Source organism: Homo sapiens, chromosome 14 (assembly GCF_000001405.40).
Source record: "Homo sapiens chromosome 14, GRCh38.p14 Primary Assembly".
Lineage (NCBI taxonomy): Eukaryota > Metazoa > Chordata > Mammalia > Primates > Hominidae > Homo > Homo sapiens.
The window spans coordinates 49,913,034-49,936,315 of record NC_000014.9 but is presented as its reverse complement, the minus strand read 5'-3'; the positions used below and the strand labels follow the sequence as shown (position 1 = coordinate 49,936,315).

General features: G+C 42.8%; 1 long non-coding RNA gene across 1 annotated transcript in view, besides 4 other annotated features; it reads left to right on the top strand.

Annotated features, from left to right (window-relative positions):
* LOC100506446 (uncharacterized) overlaps positions 1 to 16,455 on the top strand; it is a 43,172-nt gene extending 26,717 nt beyond the window's left edge. The window contains exons 5-6 of the long non-coding RNA XR_007064156.1: positions 8,498 to 8,604; positions 15,985 to 16,455. This is a non-coding gene — a long non-coding RNA (uncharacterized LOC100506446). The remainder of the gene's footprint in view (positions 1 to 8,497; positions 8,605 to 15,984) is intronic.
* Positions 3,901 to 4,402: an enhancer, noted in NCBI's record as "OCT4-NANOG hESC enhancer chr14:50398632-50399133 (GRCh37/hg19 assembly coordinates)". NCBI's record gives its function as "activates a minimal SCP1, AML or CMV promoter by ChIP-STARR-seq in primed H9 embryonic stem cells {active_cell/tissue: H9 hESC(primed)}" and the evidence as "EXISTENCE:reporter gene assay evidence [ECO:0000049][PMID:30033119]".
* Positions 5,986 to 6,035: an enhancer, noted in NCBI's record as "active region_8329". NCBI's record gives its function as "activates an Ori minimal core promoter by ATAC-STARR-seq in GM12878 lymphoblastoid cells {active_cell/tissue: GM12878}" and the evidence as "EXISTENCE:reporter gene assay evidence [ECO:0000049][PMID:35858748]".
* Positions 12,330 to 12,831: an enhancer, noted in NCBI's record as "H3K27ac hESC enhancer chr14:50390203-50390704 (GRCh37/hg19 assembly coordinates)". NCBI's record gives its function as "activates a minimal SCP1, AML or CMV promoter by ChIP-STARR-seq in naive H9 embryonic stem cells {active_cell/tissue: H9 hESC(naive)}" and the evidence as "EXISTENCE:reporter gene assay evidence [ECO:0000049][PMID:30033119]".
* Positions 18,259 to 18,759: an enhancer, noted in NCBI's record as "H3K4me1 hESC enhancer chr14:50384275-50384775 (GRCh37/hg19 assembly coordinates)". NCBI's record gives its function as "activates a minimal SCP1, AML or CMV promoter by ChIP-STARR-seq in primed H9 embryonic stem cells {active_cell/tissue: H9 hESC(primed)}" and the evidence as "EXISTENCE:reporter gene assay evidence [ECO:0000049][PMID:30033119]".

Genomic DNA, 23,282 nt, shown 5'->3' with positions numbered 1-23,282 from the left:
AGCCAGACTGGTCTCAAACTCCTGACCTCAAGTGATCTGCCCACCTAGGCCTCCCAAAGTGCTGCTGGGATTATAGGCGTGAGCCATTGTACCTGGCCCCAGGAGTAGTTGTTTTTAGTTTAGTTTTGTTTTGTTTTGTTTTGTTTTTCGAGACAGAGTTTTTGCTCTCATTGCCCAGGCTGGAGTACAATGGCGCCATCTTGGCTCACTGCAACCTCTGCCTCCCAGGTACAAGCAATTCTCTTGTCTCAGCCTCCCAAGTAGTTCAGATTATAGGCATGCACCACCACCCCTGATTTTTTTTTTTTTTTTTAGTAGAGACGGTGTTTCACCATGTTAATCAGGCTGGTCATGAACTCCTGACCTCAAGTGATCCACCCACCTCACCTCCCAAAATGCTGGGATTACAGGTGTGTGCCACCGCACCTGGCCTATAGCAGTAGTTTTGAACACCAACTAGACTAATAATTATCAGCATAGTTGGTCAACAGCCACTCTGCTGGTTTGGCTAGGTCCAGGAAATCAATGAAGATAATCAATAATGCTTGTCATGATAGCTAACCTCACAGAGTGCCTACTGTAGGCTAGACACAGTTCAAAGTGCTTTACATACAGTGACTCATTTAATCTAACAGGCCAGCCAGGCACGGTGGCTCACACATGTAATCCCAACATTTTGGGAGGCTGAGGCGGGAGGATCACTTGAGGCCATGAATTTGAGACCAATCTGCAACATAGTGAGATTCCATCTCTATGTAAAAAAATAAGAAAAAAAAATATAACAGCCATCTTCATTTTACAGATGGAGAAACTGAGGCACAGAGAGGTTAAGAAACTTGCCTAACCTCAAACTGTTTTTTTCTTTTGCTTTGTGTGTGTGTGTGTGTGTGTGTGTGTGAGATGGAGTCTTGCTGTGTTACCCAGGCTGGAGTGCAGTGGCGCAATCTTGGCTCACAGCAACCTCCGCCTCCCAGGTTCAAGAGATTCTCCTGCTTCAGCCTCCTGAGTAGCTGGGACTACAGATGCCTGCCACCATGCCCAGCTAATTTTTGTAGTTTTAGTAGAGATGGGGTTTCACCATGTTGGCCAGACTGGTCTTGAACTCCTGACCTCAAGTGATCCTCCCGCTTTGACCTCCCAAAGTGCTGGGATTACAAGCCTGAGCCACCACGCCAGCCCGTCCCTCGCACTGCTTTTACAGTCAAGAATTGAACCCAGGCAGTTGGGCTTAAAACTCATGTTCTTAAACACTGTGCTATATTGGCTCTCACATGTTTAGGTTAATAGTGGCCCAGGAATGTTGTTCAAAAAGCAAATAAATGGTTCCCTCTAAATGCCAACCCTGCCAAAAATCATTTATGTAGCTACAGTTACCTCTCACAATCTTCAGCAAAAAAAAAAAAACATAGTTAAAATGAGTTGCTTTAAGTGTTCTGTAATTCTGAGCAGTTTGCATTCATTACTCAGCAGAATGTAACTGCTGACTCTGCAGTTCAGAAGAATCACATTGAAGTTGAAGTGGTAGTAATTGAAAATTCACAAGGTTGGAGAGACTTGAAAAGGCAGACCTGTTACTAGCATTCAGTGGAGTCAAGTATTTAGTAGACCATAGTAGTAAGTATAGCAAGAATAAATCTCAATAAATCAGCAGATTCCAGGAACATTTTAGGACTGAGAATTTTTAAAATACTGTATTCTATATAAGAAGTAATGGCTATGCCTGGAAATAAGTCCCTTAAGTTGACAAAATGGGTTTAAAGTTTTTTCGATGTCTATTTTTTAAAAATGTACACCCAGGGCTGATAAGTAATCTGAGCAAAAATAATTAAAACTATTAGAAACTTCTTTCAACACATGATAGTGATAAAGACACAACCCAAACAGACTTGCTATGTACTGAGAAAAAGAACTATTAACTTTATAATTGTCATACATTAAAGCAGTATGACAATGGTTGTTATATAAAAGTAAAGAATATGCCTCATACCCGTTAGGAAGGCTACTATCAAAAACTGAAAAATCACAAGTGTTGACGAGGATGTAGAGAAACTGGAACCCCTGTGCACTGTTGATGGGAATGTAAAATGGAACAGCTGCTATGGAAAACAGTATGGAGATTCCTCAAAAAATTAAAAATAGAATTACCATATGATCCAGTAGTTTATGTGTCAAATAACTGGGCTAGGGCTGGACGCAGTGGCTCACCCCTGTAATGCCAGCACTTTGGGAGGCTGAGGCAGGAGGATCACTTGAGCCTAGGAGTTTGAGACCAGCGCGGGTAACATGGTGAAACCCCATCAACACAAAAAAATACAAAAATCAGGCATGCGCCTATAGTCCTAGCTACTTGGGAAGCTGAGGCAGGAGGATCGTTTGAGTCTGGGAGGTGGAGGAGGCAGTGAGCCAAGATTGCACCACTGCACTTTAGCCTGGGCAACAGCGAGACTCTGTCTCAAAAAAAAAATGACTGGGCTAAAGGATGTCCAGATAGCTGGTAAAACAGTATTATCCAATCTGTTGAGGGCCTGAAGCAAACAAAAAGACAGAAAGGGTGAATTTGCTCTCTGTTTGAGCTGGGATATCCATCTTCTCCTGCCCTCAATCAGAGCTCCTGGTTCTCAGGCCTTCAGACTCGGACTAGGACTTATACCATTGCCTCCCCTGGTTCTCAGGCCTAGAATGATATCACCAGTTTTCCTGGGCCTTCAGCTTGCAGACGGCAGATCATGGGATTTCTCAGCCTCCATAAACGCATGAGTCAATTCCTTATAAGAAATGTCTTTTTATATCTCTTTCTATATATTTTATTGGTTCCATTTCTCTGGAGAACCGTAACTAATGCACCCACGTTCTTAGCAATACTTTTCACAACAGCCAAGAAGTGAAAGCAACCCAAATCTCCATCAATGGATGAATGAATTTTTTAAACGTGTTATATGTATACAATGGAATATTATACAGCCTTAAAAAGGAAGGACATTCTGTCACATGCTACAACATGAACAAACCTTGAGGACATTATCCTAAGTGAAATCGGCCAGTCACAAAAGACAAACACTGTATGGTTCCACTTACATGAGGTGTCTAAAGTCATAAAATTCATAGAAACAAACATAGAATATTGGTTTACCAGGGACTGTGGGAGGGGATTAAAGGGGAGTTGCTGTTTAATGGGTATAAAATTCCATATTTGCAAGGTGAAAATGTTCTTGGGATCTGTTTTACAACAATGTAAATATCCTTAACACTAACAAACTATAAACCTAAAAATAGTTAAGATGGTAAATTTTGGCCAGGCACAGTGGCTCACACCTGTAATCCCAGCACTTTGGGAGGCTGAGGTGGGTGGATCACTTGAGGTCAGGAGTTCGAGACCAGTCTGGCCAACATGGTGAAACCCAGTCTCTACTAAAAATACAAAAAAATGAGCCAGGCATGGTGGTGCATGCCTGTAGTCCCAGCTACTTGGGAGGCTGAGGCAGGAGAATCACTTGAACCTGGGAGGTGGAGGTTGCAGTGAGCCGAGATCAGACCACTGCACTTCAGCCTGGGCAACAGAGCAAAACTGTCTCAAAAAAAAAAAAAAAAAAGAAGCTAAATTTTATGTTTTTGTTACCATAATAGAAAAGTTTAAAATAATTCAAATTGCATTCTAGCTCAATATAATCGATATGCAAGATTTTTTTTAAGTCTCCATATAAGCAAATTCTATTAATTCCTACCTATGACACAGTGTTGGTAGAACTGGCATGGTAGGCTGAGACTAAGAAACTAGAAGGCCATCTTACTGAAATAAGCACTAAAAATAGTATCTTCCTTTTTTTAATCTTTTTTTTTTTTTTTGAGATGGAGTTTTGCCTTTGTTGCTCGACTGCTGGAGAGCAATGGCACAATCTCTGCTCACCGCAACCTCTGCCTCCTGGTTCAAGCAATTCTCCTGCCTCAGCCTCCTGAGTAGCTGGGATTACAGGTGCCTACCACCATGCCCAGCTAATTTTTGTATTTTTAGTAGAGACAGGGTTTCACCATGTTGGCCAGGCTGTTCTTGAACTCCCGACCTCGTGATCCGCCTGCCTTGGCCTCCCAAAGTGCTGGGATTATAGGCGTGAGCCATCACGCCCTGGTAGTATCTTCCTTTCTTATTCAGTTCAGTGTGTTAGTGACCCCTAAAGAATGAGAAAGACCCAAGGCATTTCCTGCTTGAAGATGTCACATAAAGTTGGTAATTCCATCATCCCTCAGAAATCATCTCCCAAAACAAAGGACACAAGAGACCAGAATGAAAATCCTATCTCAATTTAAAAAAAAATTAAGACAGGTAAAACAAAATAACTGTAAAATAAGTGTAAGGGGTACCAAAAGCAAAGGCTTGTGAGGAAAGGCACAACAGGAGGCCGAGAGTGGGCCCCAGAAGAGCTCAGTAAGAGCTTAATAGCTCACCCAGTGAGATGTGTATACTGAAGTTAAAAAAAAAAAAAGTAATAGCCCCATTTGTGCAACAATGGGAAGAAGGCAGTGTTATGGATTTGTGACCCCCCACCCAGAAGATATGTGAAAGTCCTAACCCCTGGTACCTGTGAATGTGACCATATTTGGAAATAGGGTCTCTGTAGATGTAATCCTTAGGGTGAGGTTATACTAGATTAGGATGGGTCCTAATACAACGACTGGTGTCCTTATAAGAAGAGGAAAATGGCAGGGTTCAGTGGCTCACACCTGCAATCCCAGCACTTTGGGAGGCCAAGGCAGGCGGATCATTTGAGGTCAGGAGTTCAAGACCAGCCTGGCCAACATTGTGAAACCCCATCTCTACTAAAAATACAAAAAAATTAGCCTGGCATGGTGGTGCACACCTGTAATCCCAGCTACTTGGGAGGCGGAGGCTGGAGAATCACTTGAACCCAGGAGGTGGAGGTTGCAGTGAGCCGAGATTGTGCCACTGCACTCCAGCCTGGGTGACAGAGTAAGACCCTGTCTCCAAAAAAAAAAAAAGAGGAAAATGTAGACACGGACATAGAAAGGAGACCAGCATTCAAAGACGGAGACAGAGATTGTAGTGATGCGTCTACAAACCAAGGAATGCCAGGGCTACCACCAGCAGCGAGGAGAGAGGCATGGAGCACACTCTCCTTCAGAGCCTCAAGAAGGACCAACCCTCAGACCCCTTGATTTCACACTTCTAGCCTTCAGAACTGTGAGAAAATAAATTCCTGATGTTTTAAGCCACTGAGTTTGTTGTATTTTGTTACGGCAGTTCCAACTGACTAACACAGGTGGGTAGGCTGGTAGCACCAGTTTCTCTGGACCCATTTTGATTTTGAGTAGCAGAGAAATTGGGACTAAATTAGAACTCCACACACAAGTCATATTCACAGGAAGCCACATGTTCATGAGAAGTGAGAAGAGATCCCACTGTGCACAGCTGTGCAGCTGCCTGTCTTCATTGCCTGCGAAGAAGAAAAGGCTAAAGTATCTCATATGCAAAACCCTGGATCAAAAGAAAAATTCCCACTGATACAGAAGATGTCCCTGACCCCTTCACAACACAAATCTCCTGTAAATAGTTGAGCTAAGAAAATTCACTTCATTCAAAGATGAACAGTCAAAAAAGAACCAAAAAAGATTTAAGGAAGAAAATGAAAAAGAGGCTGAGCGCTGTGGCTCATGCCTGTAATCCCAGCACTTTGGGAGGCCAAGGCGGGCAGATCACTTGAGGTCAGGAGTTTGAGTGGTTGACCAGTCTGGTCAACATGGTGAAACCTTGTCTCTACTAAAAAAACAAAAATTAGGCCGGGTGCAGTGGCTCGCGCCTGTAATCCCAGCACATTGAGAGGCCAAGGTGGGCAGATCACCTGAGGTCAGGAGTTCAAGACCAGCCTGACCAACATGGCGAAACCCTGTCTCTACTAAAAATACAAAAAGTAGCTGGGCACGGTGGTGCGTGCCAGTAATCCCAGCTGCTTGGGAGGCTGAGGCAGGAGAATCACTTGAACCTGGGAGGTGGAGATTGCAGTGAGCTGAGATGGTGCCACTGCACTCCAGCCTGGGTGACAGAGCGAGACTCTGCTTCAAAAAAAAAAAAAGGAAATGAAAAAGAAACAGAAAAACAAATGCTGATGAATAATCACCATGAAAACATTACCTCAGGCCAGGCTCAGTGGCTCACGCCTGTAATCCCAGCACTTTGGGAGGGTGAGGAAGGGGGATCACCTGAGGTTAGGAGTTCGAGACCAGCCTGAGCAACATGATGAAACCCTGTCTCTACTAAAAATAGAAAAATTAGCGGGTGTGGTGGCACACCCAGCTACTTGGGAGGCTAAGGCACGAGAATCACTTGAGCCCAGGAGGCAGAGGTTGCAGTAACCCGAGATCATGCCACAACACACCAGCCTGGGTGACAGAATGAGACTGCGTCTCAAAAAAAAAAAAAAGAAAAAAGAAAAGAAAACATTACCTCAGAGCAGATTAAAATTTTGAACATTTTGCTGCAAATTTTTTTTTTTTTTTTGAGATGGAGTCTCGCTCATGTTCCCCAGGCTGAAGTGCAATGGCACAATCTCAGCTCACTGCAACCTCTGCCTCTCAGGTCCAAGCAATTCTCCTGCCTCAGCCTCCCAAGTAGCTGGGATTACAGGCATGTGCCACAGCTAATTTTTGTATTTTTAGTAGCAACGGGGTTTCATCATGTTGGTCAGGCTGGTCTCGAACTCCTGACCTCAGGTGATCCGCCCTCCTCAGCCTCCCAAAGTGCTGGGATTACAGGCGTGAGCCACCACACCCGGTCTCTTGCTGTAAATTTTTTAAAAAATGTAATGAAGCAATTGTTTCCACAAAACAATCATAAAACAGAAGTAATATCTTGAAGAAGAGAAGGTGAGATGACCAAAGGAGGTAAAACGTAAGCTGCCGGAGTTCAGGAAATAAGTGAATGAAAAAGAAAAAATAAAATCATTACACAATGTGTATGCAAACCAAATCATCGTGTTGTACACTTTGAATATATACAGTATTTATTTGTCAATTAAATCTTTTAAAAGTTAAAAAGATCTGGGCGCAGTGGCTCATGCCTATAATTCCAGCACTTTGGGAGGCCAAGTGGTAGGATCACTTGAACCCAGGAGTTCAAGACCAGCCTGGTCAACATGGTGAAACCCAAACTCTACTAAAAGTACAAAAATTAGCCAGGTGTGGTGGCACACGCCTGTAGTCCCAGCTACTTGGAAGGCTGAGGCAGGAGAATCACTTGAACCCACAAGGTGGAGGTTGCAGTGAGCTGAGATCATGCCACTGTACTCCAGCCTGGGCAACAGAGCAAAACTCCATCTCAAAAAAAATAAATAAATAAAGTTATATCTAGATTAAAGGTCATTAACTGATTACTTTAAAACAGCTTAAATTAGATATTATGTAAATTCTGAAAAGTGTGACATAAATTCCCCCTGAGGAGAAAGGCTTTAACACTTATGTAAGATATTAAAAGAAAAAGTTATATCCAGCCAGAACACACTAAAGGAAGGTTAAGGGCATTTCCCCCCAATATTTTATTATGAAAAGTCTTAAAGAGCAGCTGAAATAACTTTATAGTAAATACCTATGTACCCACTTCCTAGATTTAAGCATTACCATTTTATTTTGCTTCCCATATCATTCTATCATCCCGCTATTCATCATTAATTCATCTTATTTTTTGATGCATTTCAAAGAAAATTAGACATCACTACATTTTTCCCTAAGTACTTTGGGATGCATATTATTAAACAGAATGTAATATTTGTTTATAGTTTTATGTAAGATTTATATACAATGAAATGTACACTCTAAATGTGTATTTGCTGAGTTTGGATAAATGCATACATATGTATAACCCAACCACTGGCAAAATATAGAACATTATCATTACCCCAAAAGTTCCCCGATCCCTCTTCCCAGTTAGTCCACACTTCATGCCCTCACATGCACACTGTCACCATCTGATTTTTTTCTACCACAGATTAGCTTTGTTTGTTCAAGAATGTCATATAAATGGAATCATAGAATACATACTCTTTTGTGTATGGTTTATTTTGCCCAGCGTAGTGTTTTTGAGATTCATGTTGTTTTATGTGTCAGTAGTCACTTTTTACTGCTGAGTTGTGGTCTGCTGTATAAATATACCACATGTATAAATATACCATTCTCATACTGATAGACACATTGACTATTTCCAGTTTGGGGCTATTATGAATAAAGCTGCTGTGAACATTTTGTGCAAGTCTTTTTATTAACATGTGGTCATTTTTCTGGGTCACAAGTAGGTATATTTAATTTTATAAGAAACTGCCAGACCTTTTCCCAAAAAAGTCATACATTTTACATTACCACCACAATATTTGAGGGTTCCAATTGCCCTACCTCACCGCCAATGTTTGGTGTTGTCTTTTTAGTTTTAGCCACTTTGGTGGGCGTATAAGCAGTTTTATTTTTCAGTTAAAATATTCTTCCTTATTCTTGGCTACAGCAACAGGATGGTGGACCTCATGGCCCACACGGCCTCTAAGGAATAAGACCCCCAGACCACTAGCCCCAGCAAAAACACAAGAGGAAGAGAGAGGCCCTCAGCTGCTGGTGAGTCCCTGACGTGTCCAGTTCCCTGCCACACTGAGAATCTCCCCTCCCCGCAATTTCCATGCAGACCCCCTGAAAAGGGAAGGGCCTTGGAAGCCCCACCTTGTCATCTACCATCAATAAAGTCCCCTATGCTCAGCCAAAAAAAGAAAAAAAAATTTTTCCTAATTCTAAAAAGTGTTTGCAGATTATAAAAATTCACATAAGATGGCCAGGCGCGGTGGCTCACGCCTGTAATCCCAGCACTTTGGGAGGCCGAGGCAGGTGGATCACAAGGCCCGTCTCTACTAAAAATACAAAAATTAGCCGGGCATGGTGGCAGGTGCCTGTAGTCCCAGCTACTCAGGAGGCTGAGGCAGGAGAATCACTTGAACCCGGGAGGCGGAGGTTGCAGTGAACCAAGACCACGCCATTGCATTCCAGCCTGGGTGACAGAGTGAGACTCCATCTCAAAAAAAAAAAAAAAAAAAAAATTCACATAAGATGAAAAAAACAAAAAGACCATGAAAATCAAAGTGAAGAAAGAACAAGGGCCCATAAGTATGATGAAGCCAGGAAGCATTAGTAGAGAGAAATGAATGCATGAGATAAGGGGTTCATGATTATTAAAGGTGCTTCACTTAATTAGACTCTGAGCTTCTTAGTGCCCTAAACAAAGAGGGAAACATGACTAGTTACAGGATGTATGCTGTCCTTAAGGTACAGCTGTTGTTGAGCTACAGTATTACTCAGTGTCTTCTGTAGGAGAACAAATAATCCGTGTCAGGACAACAGCTAATAAGTTTTTACCTTAAGGACTCTGACACTGGGACTGTTGGTTCTCCTATAGAAGACACTGAGTAGTACTGTAGCCCGAACTCTCATAATACCATGATAAATACAACCCTGAGTATCAAATTACCTTTTTAAATATAACATCCCTCAATACAATCCAAAGGTATATAAGGGCTTATGACTCCAGAACAACCCCAAGGGATGAAGTACAGCAGAAAATACAAACATCACCTCTCATAATGGAGCTAAGAGCATACAAATCACCTTTTCTAGTTTTTTTCTCTGCCTCAATCACTGCCTTATCCGAGTTGATCCCTTTAATTTGAAGAATTTAGTTGTATTAAATTCAAATTGTTTATATTTATTGAAACATTATCTTCTACTTTATCCCCCCAAATTGTATAACATTTCCTTTGTTACATGTTTTTACAAGCGATCTAAAACTTTCTGTATATATTACCTCCCTAACTATAAACTCCTCAAGGGCAATGACAATTTATATATTTCAGTCAACAATAAATGTTAACTAAGAAATTGATGGTAGAGAAGAAAATATGACATAAACATAAGCGTTGTGATACTATCATGGGTAGCATAACATTCACATTAAAATAGAAAAATAGGGCCGGGTGTGGTGGCTCACGCCTGTAATCCCAGCACTTTGGGAAGCCGAGGAGGGCGGATCACGAGGTCAGGAGATCAAGACCATCCTGGCTAACACAGTGAAACCCTGTCTCTACTACAAAATACAAAAAATTAGCCAGGCATGGTGGCGGGCGCCTGTAGTCCCAGCTACTCAGGAGGCTGAGGCAGGAGAATGGCGTGAACCCGGGAGGCGGAGCTTGCAGTGAGCCGAGATTGCGCCACTGCACTGCAGCCTGGGCGACAGAGCAAGACTCTGTCTCAAAAAAAAGAAAAAAGAAAAATAGAACTCATGTTTTTATGATGCTAAGGTACCACTTTTTTTTTTCTTTAAGAGAACAGTGTCTCACTCTGTCACCCAGGCTGGAGTACAGTGGCTCGATCAAAGCTCATTGCTGCCTTAAACTCCTTGGCTCAAGCAGTCTTCTCAGCCTCCCAGTAGCTGGTACTACAGGTGTGTGCCACCACACTAGCCTTAGGATACCACTTAAATACATGTAGAACACCCTAAATCTGTTATAGCAGACACCTACACATAAAACCATCTATAAAGCATTATTTTGCATATCCAATTTTCTTTTTGGTTCTTCTTAAACTGGATCTTCAATCACTGCTTTCTCTTAAAAATTCTAAGAGGGAAAGTCTGTTTTATTATTTTAAAAATTCTTCCATAATTACCTACAAGAATGTATAATATTGAGGCCAGCGTGGTGGCTCACACCCGTAATCCTAGCACTTTGGGAGGCTGATGCGGGTGGATCACCTGAGGTCAGGAGTTTAAGACCAGCCTGGCCAACATGGTGAAACGCTGTCTCTACTAAAAATACAAAAATTAGCTGGGTGTGGTGGTAGGAGCCTGTAATCCAGCTACTTGGGAAGCTGAGGCAGGAGAATCACTTGAACTGGGAAGCGGAGGTTGCAGTGAGCTGAGATGGCGCCACTGCACTCCAGCCTGGGCGACAGGGTGAGACTTTGCTTCAAAAAAAAAAAAGTATAATATTGAATGGGTACCCATTCATTATTAAGTATTATATTACCAGCACCTCACTAGGGTAACAAAAGCTACCTGTGGTTGTGGCAGACACTGCGTGCTGACCAGCCTACGTTTCTAACACCCTTCTCCCTTGACTGACTCTACTGAAGAAGTTATCAAAGTTAGAAACTCAATCTCCTAGATGTCTGTATGGCTTAGGGAGGTCACTTGACAGTCTTGGCCAATGGGCTACAAGTGGAAGTTGACTAGTACCCCTTATTTCACTTCCCCCATCTTTCAGCCTGACACCTAAATGCAAGACACCTGGTGGGCCCAGTGGCTCATGCCTGTAATTCCATTACTTTGGGAGACCAAGGTAGGATGGTCGGTTGAGTCCAAGAGTTCTAGACCAGCCTGGGCAACATTGCAAGACCTTGTCTCTACAAAAATATTTTAAAATGAGCAGGACGTGGTGGCACACAACTGTAGTCCCAGCTGCTCAGGAGAATTGCTTGAGCCCTGGAGGTTGAGGCTGCAGTGAGCTGTGATCACACCATTACACTCCAGTCTGGGTGACAGAGCAAGACTGTATCTAAAAAAACAAAAAACAAAACAAAAAAAAAACCTGAAGGTGCCACAGCCATATTGCAACCATAGGTAGGACAAAGGCTTATAACTAGGGATGGGAGAATAGCAAGATTAGAAAGAGCTTGGGTCCATGATAGCATACCTGAGTCATTACAAGCTGTGGATTTCCTACTACGGTGGCCAGCATCTAAGATGGTCTCCTGTGACCCTCAACTGCTGATATTCACACCTTCACACCTTTCAGTAGCCCCTCCCAAAATAAATCAGGGCTGGTCTGTATGATCAACAGAACAGAACAGGAATGAGGGAGTGTGCCTTTTTTTTTTTTTTTCTTTTGAGACATGGTGCTGCTCTGTTGAGCAGGCTGGAGTGCAGTGGCATGATCTCAACTCACTGCAGCCTTGAGCTCTCAGGCTCAAGTGACCCTCCCACCCTAGCCTCCCAAGTAGCTAGGACCACAGGCTTGTGCCATCACAACTGGCTAATTTTTGAATTTTGGAGAGATGGGGTCTCCCTGTGTTGCCCAGGTCTTGAACTCCTGGGCTCAAGCAATCCTCCTGCCTCGGCCTTCCAAAGTGCTGAGATTGCAGGCATGAGCTACCATGCTTGGCCAAGGGTGTGTGACCTCTGATGCTGGATTATAAAAGGCATTGCAGCTTCTGCTGTGCTCTCTTCGCTTGCTCACTCTGAGGAAAGCTAGCAGCCATCCTGTGAGGACAGTCAAGCAGTTCTGTACAGAGGCCCATGTGGAGAAAAACAGGCATCCTGCCATCAATCAGCAGCAACCTGCCAATCATGAAAGTGAGCCACTGTCCGGTACGTACCTGTAGTCCCATCTACTCAGGAGGCTGAGGTGGGCAGATCACCTGAGCCTGGGAGGTGGAGGTTACAGTGAACCGTGATCACACCACTGCACTCCAGCCTGGGCTACAGAGTGAGACCCTGTCTCAAAAAAAGAGAGAGAGAGAAAGAAAAGAAAGAAGAAAGAAAAGAGAAAAGAAAACAAAGAAAAGAAAAGAAAAAGGAAGGGAGGAAGGGAGGAAGGGAAGGAAGGGAAGGAAGAGAAAGAAGCCACACTGTGGAAGTGTATCCTCCAGCCACAGTCAGGCCTTTGGATGACAGAAAGAAAAAAGAAAGAAAAAGGAAGGAAGGAAGGGAGGAAGGGAGGAAGGGAGGGAGTGGGGGAGGTCAGCCATTGTGGAAGTGGATCCTGCAGCCCCAGTGAAGCCTTTGGATGACTACAGCCCTGACAGCTGATAGCAAGCTCAGAGGAGACTCCAAGACAGAATTACCTAGCCAAGATGCTCCTGAATTCTTGAACTGCAGAAAACATGAGAGAGAAGAAATTATTATCATTTAAGCCATGACATTTCGGGCATTAGATTATAAATATATCAGAATTTTTGTTATATGAGTTTATGCCAGTGCTGGGTAATTTTTTATTAACTGATAAACTACTCAGGAAATTTGAGAAAAAAAAAAGACAGCTATAAAAATTTTATGTGACTAAAGGAGTTCTTTGAAAAAAAATCTGTCTTTTGATCCATCTTAAAAACTGTAGCTAAGACAATATCTAATACAAAATGAGGTTTAATTTCTATACTAAGTTAAGAAGCAGAATGGGAAAAAATGAACCACATCTCATGAAACCTAAACTCTAGCCTTAGCTCTATCATTATTTGCCTGTGACACTTGGCAAATCAACTTGCTGCAGATCCTTTTTTTTTTTTCCTTTGAATGATGAGAGAACTAGACTAGATGATTTCTGTATCTCCCTTTAACTCCTAAATTCTGACCCTAAGAGCTATGACATCATTGGTGCTATTTTTCAGGGCTCTTGATAATGTTTAAAGAGAAAATTTTGCCTATAAAATTAGCATAATAATACTCAATACTGGAAAAAATGCAAGGAGACTGGCACTCACACACTGATGTTGGAACATAAACTGATTTAATCCCCTCAGAAAGCAATTTGGTATTATGTCAAGTCTTTTTACTTTTTTTCTTTTTTTTTTTTTTTTGAGACAGGGTGTCACTCTGTTGTCCATGCTGGGGTGCAGTGGCACAATCATGGCTCACTGCAGCCTCGACCTCCCAGGCTCAAGCAAGCCTGCCACCTCAGCCTCCTGGACGGCTGAGACTACAGGCACAGACACGTGCCCCCCACCCAGATAATTTTTTTTTTTTTTGAGATGGAGTTTTGCTCTTGTTGCCCAGGCTAGAGTGCAATGGCATGATCTCGGCTCACTGCAACCTCCGCCTCCTGGGTTCAAGCGATTCTCCTGCCTCAGCCTCTCAAGTAGCTTAGATTATGGGCGTGTGCCACCATGCCTGGCTAATTTTGTATTTTTAGTAGAGATGAGGTTTCACCATGTTGGTCAAGCTGGTCTTGAACTGCTGACCTCAAGTTATCCACCCGCTTCGGCCTCCCAAAGTGCTGGGGTTACAGGCGTGAGCCACCGTGCCCAGCCAGGATAATTATTTGATGCTTTCTTGAGATGGGGTCTCACTATGTGGCCCAGGCTGGTCTGAAACTCCTGAGCTCAAGTGATCCTCCTGCCTCAGCTTCCCAAAGTGCTGGGATTACAGGAATCAGCCACTGCACCCGGCTATCAACAGTCTTTTTTAAGTCAATATCGTAATACAAAAGAATGGTATTGTAATCTTAAAGGTGGAACATATAGTATCATTACAAGTTACATTTCTAAAGAGTTTATAACATAGGGAAATACATTTTCATGCTAAGAGAAAATTGAAAAAGAATAAAAATATCTATACTAGTAGTTTTCATTGGGTAGTGAATCTGGAGATTATTTTCTTCTCCACTCCAGTTGTTTTTATATTTTTCCAATTTTTCATAAAGACCATGGCTCACTTTTATAATTATAAAGGCTTAATGTGAGGTTAGTTAGAGAAGTTAAAATTCAGACAGGAAAATTCAAGAGAATAAAAAAAATTAAGGAAAAAAGTTAAAGAGGATGACTATAGGTAGGCTAACTAAGCCCAGAGTCTACGGAGGGTATCTTGGGGGTTGGTCAGAAAAAGATGTTGGCAGTAAGATAGGTTAGTGAAAGGAGAGGCAGTTGGTGAGGCTATGACTTGGAAAATTGGATTAGGAAATAAGCAAACATATATGGCACAAACCCAAGAGGAATAGAGTATAAACTCTATTCCTAGAAATAGTCCTAGAGTCCTAGAGTCCTAGAAATCAAGACCAAAGGGAAGTAAAAAATAAAATATTCAACAGAATATATGAACATAGTGATCACCTAAATAACAGCCAGAATAGGAAGATTAGTGTAAATACTCTATATAGGCATTGGATAACACATGTTACACGTTGGAGTTAATCACTAGACCGTGAAACCACAAAAAATCAAGGAGTGTTTTTTTTTACATGGAATGGAATATAAGCACTAGGTTATACATAATTGGAAATTAATATTGGAGCATAATGTTCATTTTTGCCTCTGGTTACAATTAATATAATAATGTCACTTCTGTGGTCAGTAAGCATAAGCGTAAGAGGGGACTGAACACCATGTCTGGCACTCAACTTTCACTTTCTGGGAGCTGAGTAGTCAGGAGACCAACAGTGAGCATGGCCAATAACATCCCCAGCAAGTATATATGATTTCAAAATACAACAAAGGGGCTGTGTCAACTTGCTGAGACTCTAGAAGGGAACTTCCTTCCCCCTGGGCTTTCTAGATTAAGGTATTTTCCCTCCATGTGTCTCCTCACCAAATTAAAATTAATTCGTACTTCAGTACAAAAACTGAATGGTTGAGTACCTTTAAGAAACGAGGCCGGGTGCAGTGGCTCATACCTGTAATCCCAACACTTTGGGAGGCTGAGGTGGGTGGATCACGAGGTCAGGAGATCGAGACCATCCTGGCTAACATGGTGAAACCCTGTCTCTACTAAAAATACAAAAAATTAGCCGGGCGTGGTGGTGGCCACCTGTAGTGCCAGCTACTCGGGAGGCTGAGGCAGGAAAATGGCATGAACCCGGAAGGCAGAGCTTGCAATGAGCCGAGATCATGCCACTGCACTCCAGCCTGGGCGACAGAGCAAGACTCCGTCTCAAAAAAAAAAGAAAAAAGAAAAGAAAATAAACAGTACTTATAAGAGTTGTTTCTGAAATTACAAATCAAGGTAACAGAAAAGTTCTGCCTTAGATATCTGTACTGATTGTAACCTGGAGACAAAGCAAAGCCAAAACAAACTTATCATTAGCTTAGCATGCCAGTATACTTCCTTATACCCAGTATGGGGCTCCATAACATGGGAAATGAATTATTCTTGTCTGACTGATCCTCTGATTATTGGTTTTTCTCCATCCTCTAATTATAAGCATTCCTTTGAGCAGTCCTTGCCACCCTGTCCTATTCTTTCTTCAGGGGACAACTTATCCACATTCATGGCAATGTACTGAAGAAATATATATTGAGCACCAACTATGAACCAGGCACCAGGACACACCAAGAACACATTGTTCATGATGCAGAGAAGAAACACTTGCATAACAACTATATATTGTGGTAACTGTTCTACTAAAGATTAATGTGAATTACCAGGAAAGCAGAAAGAAGGGAATGACACGTCTGAGAAGTCTTCATAAAAGTACATTGCTAAAGGATGACCAAAATGTTCAAAGGTGAAAATGACAATTTCAGGCAAAGAGAACAATTGATGCAAAGGCATGTAATTACGACACAGCATAGCATGTCTAGAAAAGGACAAGAAGTTTGGTGTGGAGCAATTAGGGGAGTGCAAGGAGATGCAAAGATACACAGCTGGAGATAAAGTGGGTGCTGTGGAAAGTCTTCTAAGCCCTGCTAATGAGTTTCAAATTTATTCACTATGCATTGAAAGCCATTGAAAGGGGTTAAGCAAGAAAGAGACATGATCATATTTGTATTTTTATTTATGTTTTTTCTTTCTTTCTTTCTTTCTTTTTTTTTTTTTTTTTTTTTTTTTTGAGGCGGAGTCTCACTCTGTCACCAGGCTGGAGTGCAGTGGCACAATCTCGGCTCACTGCAACCTCCGACTCCCTGGTTGAAGGGATTCTCCTGCCTCAGGCTCCCTAGAAGCTGGCATTACAGGCACGCACCACCACGCCCAACTAATTTTTGTATTTTTAGTAGAGACGGGGTTTCACCATGTTAGCCAGAATGGTCTTAATCTCCTGACCTCGTGATCTGCCCGCCTCGGACTCCCAAAGTGCTGGGATTACAGGCATGAGCCACCGCGCCCGGCCCATATTTGTGTTTTTTTTTGTTTGTTTTTTTGTTTTTTTGTTTTTCTCTGAGACGGAGTCCTGCTCTGTCACCCAGGCTGGAGTGCAGTGGCTCAATCTGGGCTCACTGCAAGCTCCGCCTCCCGGGTTCCCGCCATTCTCCTGCCTCAGCCTCCTGAGTAGCTGGGACTACAGGCGCCCGCCACCACGCCCGGCTAATTTTTTGTAATTTTAGTAGAGACAGGGTTTCACAGTGTTAGCCAGGATGGCCGATCTCCTGACCTCATAATCCGCCCGCCTCGGCCTCCCAAAGCGCTGGGATTACAGGCGTGAGCCACCGCGCCCGGCCCCATATTTGTATTTTAAAATGACCCCTTTGGTAACCGTGTGGCTATTTCCCCGCTAGGACTTAAGCAGGTAAGATGCATTTCAATAATCCAGGTGAGAAGTGATAGGAGCCTAAACTAAGAGAGTGGCAGTAGGAGACGAAGAGGAAAGATAGATTCAAGAGGCAGAATTTATCAGATCTATGAGCAAAAGAATGTAGGAGGTAAAAAGAGGGAACAATCAAAGTCCAAAGTTTTGAGTCTAGTCAGCTAGTTGGACATTGATACCAATAAATAAAAAAAAAAAGAATATGAGACAAGAATGAGAGGGATGAGGCAAGGGGAAGGAAGAAAATATCTTTTTCAGATATGTTGAGTTTGAAGAGTCCATTGAGATATCCAAGAGCAGATGCCTTGTGAGCAGTTGAATATAAGAGTATGGAGCCTGGAAATAAGTGTGGGTCAAGGCCGGGTACGGTGGCTCACGCCTGTAATCCCAGCACTTTGAGAGGCCGAGGTGGGTGGTTCACGAGGTCAGGAGATCAAGACCATCCTGGCCAACATGGTGAAACCCCGTCTCTACTAAAAATACAAAAATTAGCTGGGAGTGGTGGCGGGCGCCTGTAATCCCAGCTACTCAGGAGGCTGAGGCACGAGAATCGCTTGAACCCAGGAGGCAGAGGTTGCAGTGAGCCGAGATTGCGTCACTGCACTCCAGCCTGGGAGACAGAGCAAGACTCTGTCTCAAAAAAAAAAAAAAGAAAGAAAGAAATGTGGGCGCTAAAGCCATCACAAAGTGACAGCTTCAATGTTGAAAGGAAATGAAATCCGGATAATATAGGATGGAAAGTATCTACTTTCATCAAGAAATTCAAAATTTCCTCCAATATTCTACTCTCAAAAACTGAGTCCTATATTGTCATCTACTTATTAGATTTTCCATTTGGACATCCTACCATCACCTCAAATATGAATGAATCTAATGATATTATAGGTCAAAAATGGTTGAATATTGGAATTATACAATGTTTCAACATTAATAATTAGCATTTCACAGCTGTATTATCACAGCAGTGTCCTGGATTCCTTACCTCCTAGCTCATCTTATAATTCATATTGTCAAATGTTTCTCCAAACCCGTTCTTCACATCTTACTCCCCTGTTCAAAACCCTTTAGAGGTGCCCTATTAATTACTACAGCCAAGCTAAGCCCCACCCTCACCTTCCATTGCTTCTTAACATTATTCTCCACCTAATAGGGCTGGGCTCATCAATGTCCTGTGAACCAACCCACAATGTTCATTCCATTCTAAGCTCATGCTGACCCATTACCTGGAATTTCCTACTCTTGGCTTATCTAAATCTGGTCTAAAAGAACTTTTAAAACAGTGTCTCTCAGTTTTCTTTTTTTTTTTTGAGATGGAGTCTCGCTCTGTGCCAGGCTGGAGTGCAATGGCATGATCTCTGCCTCCCAGGTTCAAGCGATTCCCCTGCCTCAGGCTCCTAAGTAGCTGGGACTACAGGCATGCTACAATACACCCAGCTAATTTTTGTATCCTTAGTAGAGACGAGGTTTCACCATGTTGGCCAGGATGGTCTCGTGACCTCGTGATTGGCCCCCATCTCGGCCTCCCAAAGTGCTGGGATTACAGGCGTGAGCCACCACGCCCAGCCAGCTTTTTGACCATGATTCTCTTTGATAAAGCTAACTCAAAACCCATTATCAATCCCTTTCATCCTGTCCTCTTCCACTAGAGAGTATAGAAGGTAAGTGCTTCTTTTCTGAGACTCCTTTGTAGTTAGGAAAGGCCATGTGATGAATTCCAGCCAATGGTTCTGCCTCCTCTTCCTTCCTGCCTTGAAAACAGGCACAAGTACTTAGAGCTGCAGCAGATATCTTGGAATCGTAAATCCACAAGCCAGCACACTAAGGACTACAGAGTGGTAAAACACAAATTTTGGAGTTCTTGACCAAATCCCTGAGCCACACCAGGCCAGGACTGCCTATTTCTTGGATTTACTATGTCAGGAAATAAGTCCCTAATTGTTTAGGCTACAGTTGCCTATCTATTTTTTTTTCTTTGGTTTTGCTGCAGAAAACATTCCAAATTTATATATATATATATATATATATATATATATATATATATATTTTTTTTTTTTTTCCAAGCAGTAGCACGCCCTATAGCAAACAAATTCATGACAGTCTTTATGACACAAAGATTAATATTCACTTGACAGTGGCTGTGCGTGTGGCTCTTACCATAATCCTAGCACTTCAGGAGGCTGAAGCGGGAGGATCCCTTGAGCCCAGGAGTTCGAGACCAACCTGGGCAACATAGGGAGACCCTGTCTCTATTTTAAAAAAAAAAAAAAAAAAAAAAAAAGAGCCAGGCCTGGTGGCTTACGCCTGTAATCCCAGCACTTTGGGAGGCCGAGGCAGACAGATCGCCTGAGGTAGGAGTTTGAGACCAGCCTGGCCAACATGGTGAAACCCCTTCTCTACTAAAAATACACACACAAAAAATTAGCCGGGCATGGTGGTGTGGGCCTGTAATCTCACCTAATGGGAGGCTAAGGCAGGAGAATTACTTGAACCTGAGAGACAGAGGTTGCAGTGAGCCGAGATCACACCACTGCACTCCAGCCTAGGTGACAGAACAAGACTCCATCTCAGAAAAAAAAACTCACTTGATAGTTCAAACATGTATCTAATGACAAACTGTTTTTCGAAGCAAGCTAGAATGTATAGGCACACAAACATTCCACCAATTATGGCTTTTTGCAGCAGCTATTCTCTCTGAGGTTCACAGAGTCTAGGGTAACAGTTTATTGAAAAATAAAAAGTGTAGGCCAAGCGTGGTGGCTTATGCTTGTAATCCCAGCACTTTGGGAGGCCAAGGTGGGAGGATTGTTTGAGCCCGGGATTTCAAGTTTACAGTGAGCTATGATCAGGCCACTGCACTCTAGTGTGGGCGACAGAGCAAGACCCTGTCTCAAAAACAAACAATAACAAAGTACTTCTCTTAGTTAAAGGGAGAATTCCAATTCTTCAGTAGTGATATGGTTAAGTTATTCTCCTTTACAGAAACTAGAATAGGGAGTGCCAAGTTCTAAATTTTTTAACCAGAAAAGTTTATTTCTTGCCCATAGTTAGTCCAAAATGAGTTCCTGATCAGCCCTCCTACAAAGATCCATCTAGAAAACCTCTTCCTTATATCTTAGGGCTCCTCCATCCTCAAATAAGCTGTGATATTCTGTATAAAGTCAGAAAAAAGGAAAGTAGCATGGAAGAGAGCTTGAGGGGACTTTATGTATGAAACCAGGAATCAATATATATCACTTTCATTCACATTCCACTGGCTAGAACTCAGCTGTGAGGCTGCATCTAACTGCGAGGCAGGGTGGGAAATGTAGTCTATTAGTACACAAAAGAAGGAAAGGAAAAGAATTCTGTGAATTGCTAGACAATCTGTGCCACACTTGTATAAAAAAAGAAAAGAAAAAAAATTTGAAGTTAAAATGGAATAAGGAAGGCAAGTCCCTTACCTTAATAAGGAAGATAAAGCAATTTTAAAGTCACTCTCCTACAGCATTTTCATACTCAAATCCCTGTTCTTCCACTGGTTTAAAAAAAAATGGCCTCCATCCTCCAACGTATGGAGAGACTGGACTTTACTGACATATATTAACCTTTTGCTTTCCCATCTAAAAAAAGCTGAGCAAACCATCAGAGTGGCATACAGAAGTATCCTCAGTCCCAGTTTGGACAGATAACCATCCCATGCTATGGGAGGCAGCTTCTAAGGTAGCCCTCCATAATCTCCACCTCCTGGTATCTACTTCTCTGTTTAATCCCCTACCCTGAAGTGTGGGTGGACTTAATTGCCAGGTCATGTGGTAACTCTATGTTTATCATTCTGAAGAACTGCCAAACTGTTTTTCTAAAGTGGCTGCAGCATTTTACAATCCAGATGAACTACTTTTTATCTATGGAACCAAATGCAAATTATTTAACCTGAGTTTTCCATCATTTGTAAAGTATTAGTTATCATTTTTAGTTTCAAAAATAATTCCTGCAGATCATGTGGGCAGAAGAAAAGGAAAAAATAAAGACTACCATTTATTGAGCACTACTTGTACCACCACTGTTCTAAGTACTTATGAAGACTTTTCTCATTTAACCCATGTGGTAGAATTATCAAATAAAATACAGGACAGTTCATTAAATTTAAATTTCAGGTTTAATAACTAATAATCTTTTAGTATAATTATATCCTGTGCAATCTTTGCCCAAAGTTTTTTTGTTTGTTTTTTGTTTGTTATTTGTTTGTTTTTTTTTTCGAAATGGAGCCTTACTCTGTCGCCTAGGCTGGAGGGCAGTGGCAGGATCTCGGCTCACTGCAACCTCCACCTACCTCCTGGGTTCAAGCAACTCTCGTGCCTCAGCCTCCTGAGTAGCTGGGACTATTTTAGCAGAGATGAGGTTTCACCATGTTGGCAAGGCTGATCTCGAACTCCTGGCCTCAAGTGTTCCGTCTGCCTCGGCCTCCTGAAGGGATTACAGACATGAGCCACTGAACCGGCCTAATTAAAAATAAATCTTTCTAGCCGGGCGTGGTGGCTCACACCTGTAATCCCAGCACTTTGGGAGGCCGAGGCGGGTGGATCACCTGAGGTCAGGACTTCGAGACCAGCCTGACCAACATGGTGAAACCCCTTCTCTACTAAAAATACAAAATCAGCTGGACATGGTGGCTCATGCCTGTAATCCCAGATACTCAGGAGACTGAGGCAGGAGAATCACTTGAACCTGGGAGGTGGAGGTTGCAGTGAGCCGAGATCGCCCCATTGCACTCCAGCCTAGGCAACAAGAGCAAAACTCCCTCTCAAAAAAAAAAAAAAAAAAAAAGTATTTGGGAGGCTGACGCGGGCGGATCACCAGGCGGGCGGATCATGAAGTCTAGAGATCGAGACCATCCTGGCCAAAATGGTGAAACCCTGTCTCTACTAAAAATACAAAAAAAAAATTAGCTGGGCATGGTGGTGCAGGCCTGTAGTCCCAGCTGCTAGGGAGGTTGAGGCAGGAGAATCGCTTAAACCCGGGAAGCGGAGGTTGCAGTGAGCCGAGATGGTGCCACTACACTTCAGCCTGGTGGCAGAGTGAGACTCTATCTCAGAAAAAAAAAAAAAAAAAAGTTTTTCACAACTTCCCAGATGTAAAAAATTAAAATAAATTTTAAAAATAAATAAATAGGCTGGGCACAGTGGTTCAGCTCACACCTGTAATCCCAGCACTTTAGGAGGCCGAGGCAGGTGGATCACGAAGTCAGGAGATCGAGACCATCCTGGCTAACATGGTGAAACCCCGTCTCTACAGTCTCTATTAAAAAATACAAAAAATTAGCCGGGCGTGGTGGCGTGGGCCTGTAATCCCAGCTACTAAGGAGGCTGAGGCAGGAGAATCACTTGAACCCAGAAGGTGGAGGTTGCAGTGAGCCGAGATTGCGCCGTTGCACTCCAGCCTGGGCAACGAGAGTGAAACTCAGTCTCAAAAATAAATAAATAAAATTAAGTCTTATTTATTTATTTGAGACAGAGTGTTGCTGTGTCGCCCAGGCTCTCAGCTCACTGCAACCTCCGCCTCCCTGGCTCAAGCAATTAGCCTGCCTCAGCCTTCCGAGTAGCTGGGATTACAGGCGCACACCACCGCACTGGGCTAATTTTTGCATTTTTAGCTAGAGACGGGGATTTGCCATGTTGGCCAGGCTGGTCTTGAATTCCTGACCTCAGGTTATCTGCCCGCCTCGGCCTCCCAAAGTGCTGGGATTACAGGAGTGAGGCACTGCGCCCAGCCTATTTTTTATTTTTATTTATTATTTATTATTATTATTTTTTTTTTGAGACAGTCTTGCTCTGTCGCCCAGACTGGAGTGCAGTGGTGCGATCTCGGCTCACTGCAACATCCGCCTCCCAGGTTCAAGCGATTCTCGTGCCTCAGGCTCCCAAGTAGCTGGGATTACAGCTCCGCCACCATGCCCGGCTAATTTTTATATTTTTAGTAGAGACGGGGTTTCCCCATGTTGGCCAGGCTGGTCTCAAACTCCTGACCTCAAGTGATCTGCCTGCCTCA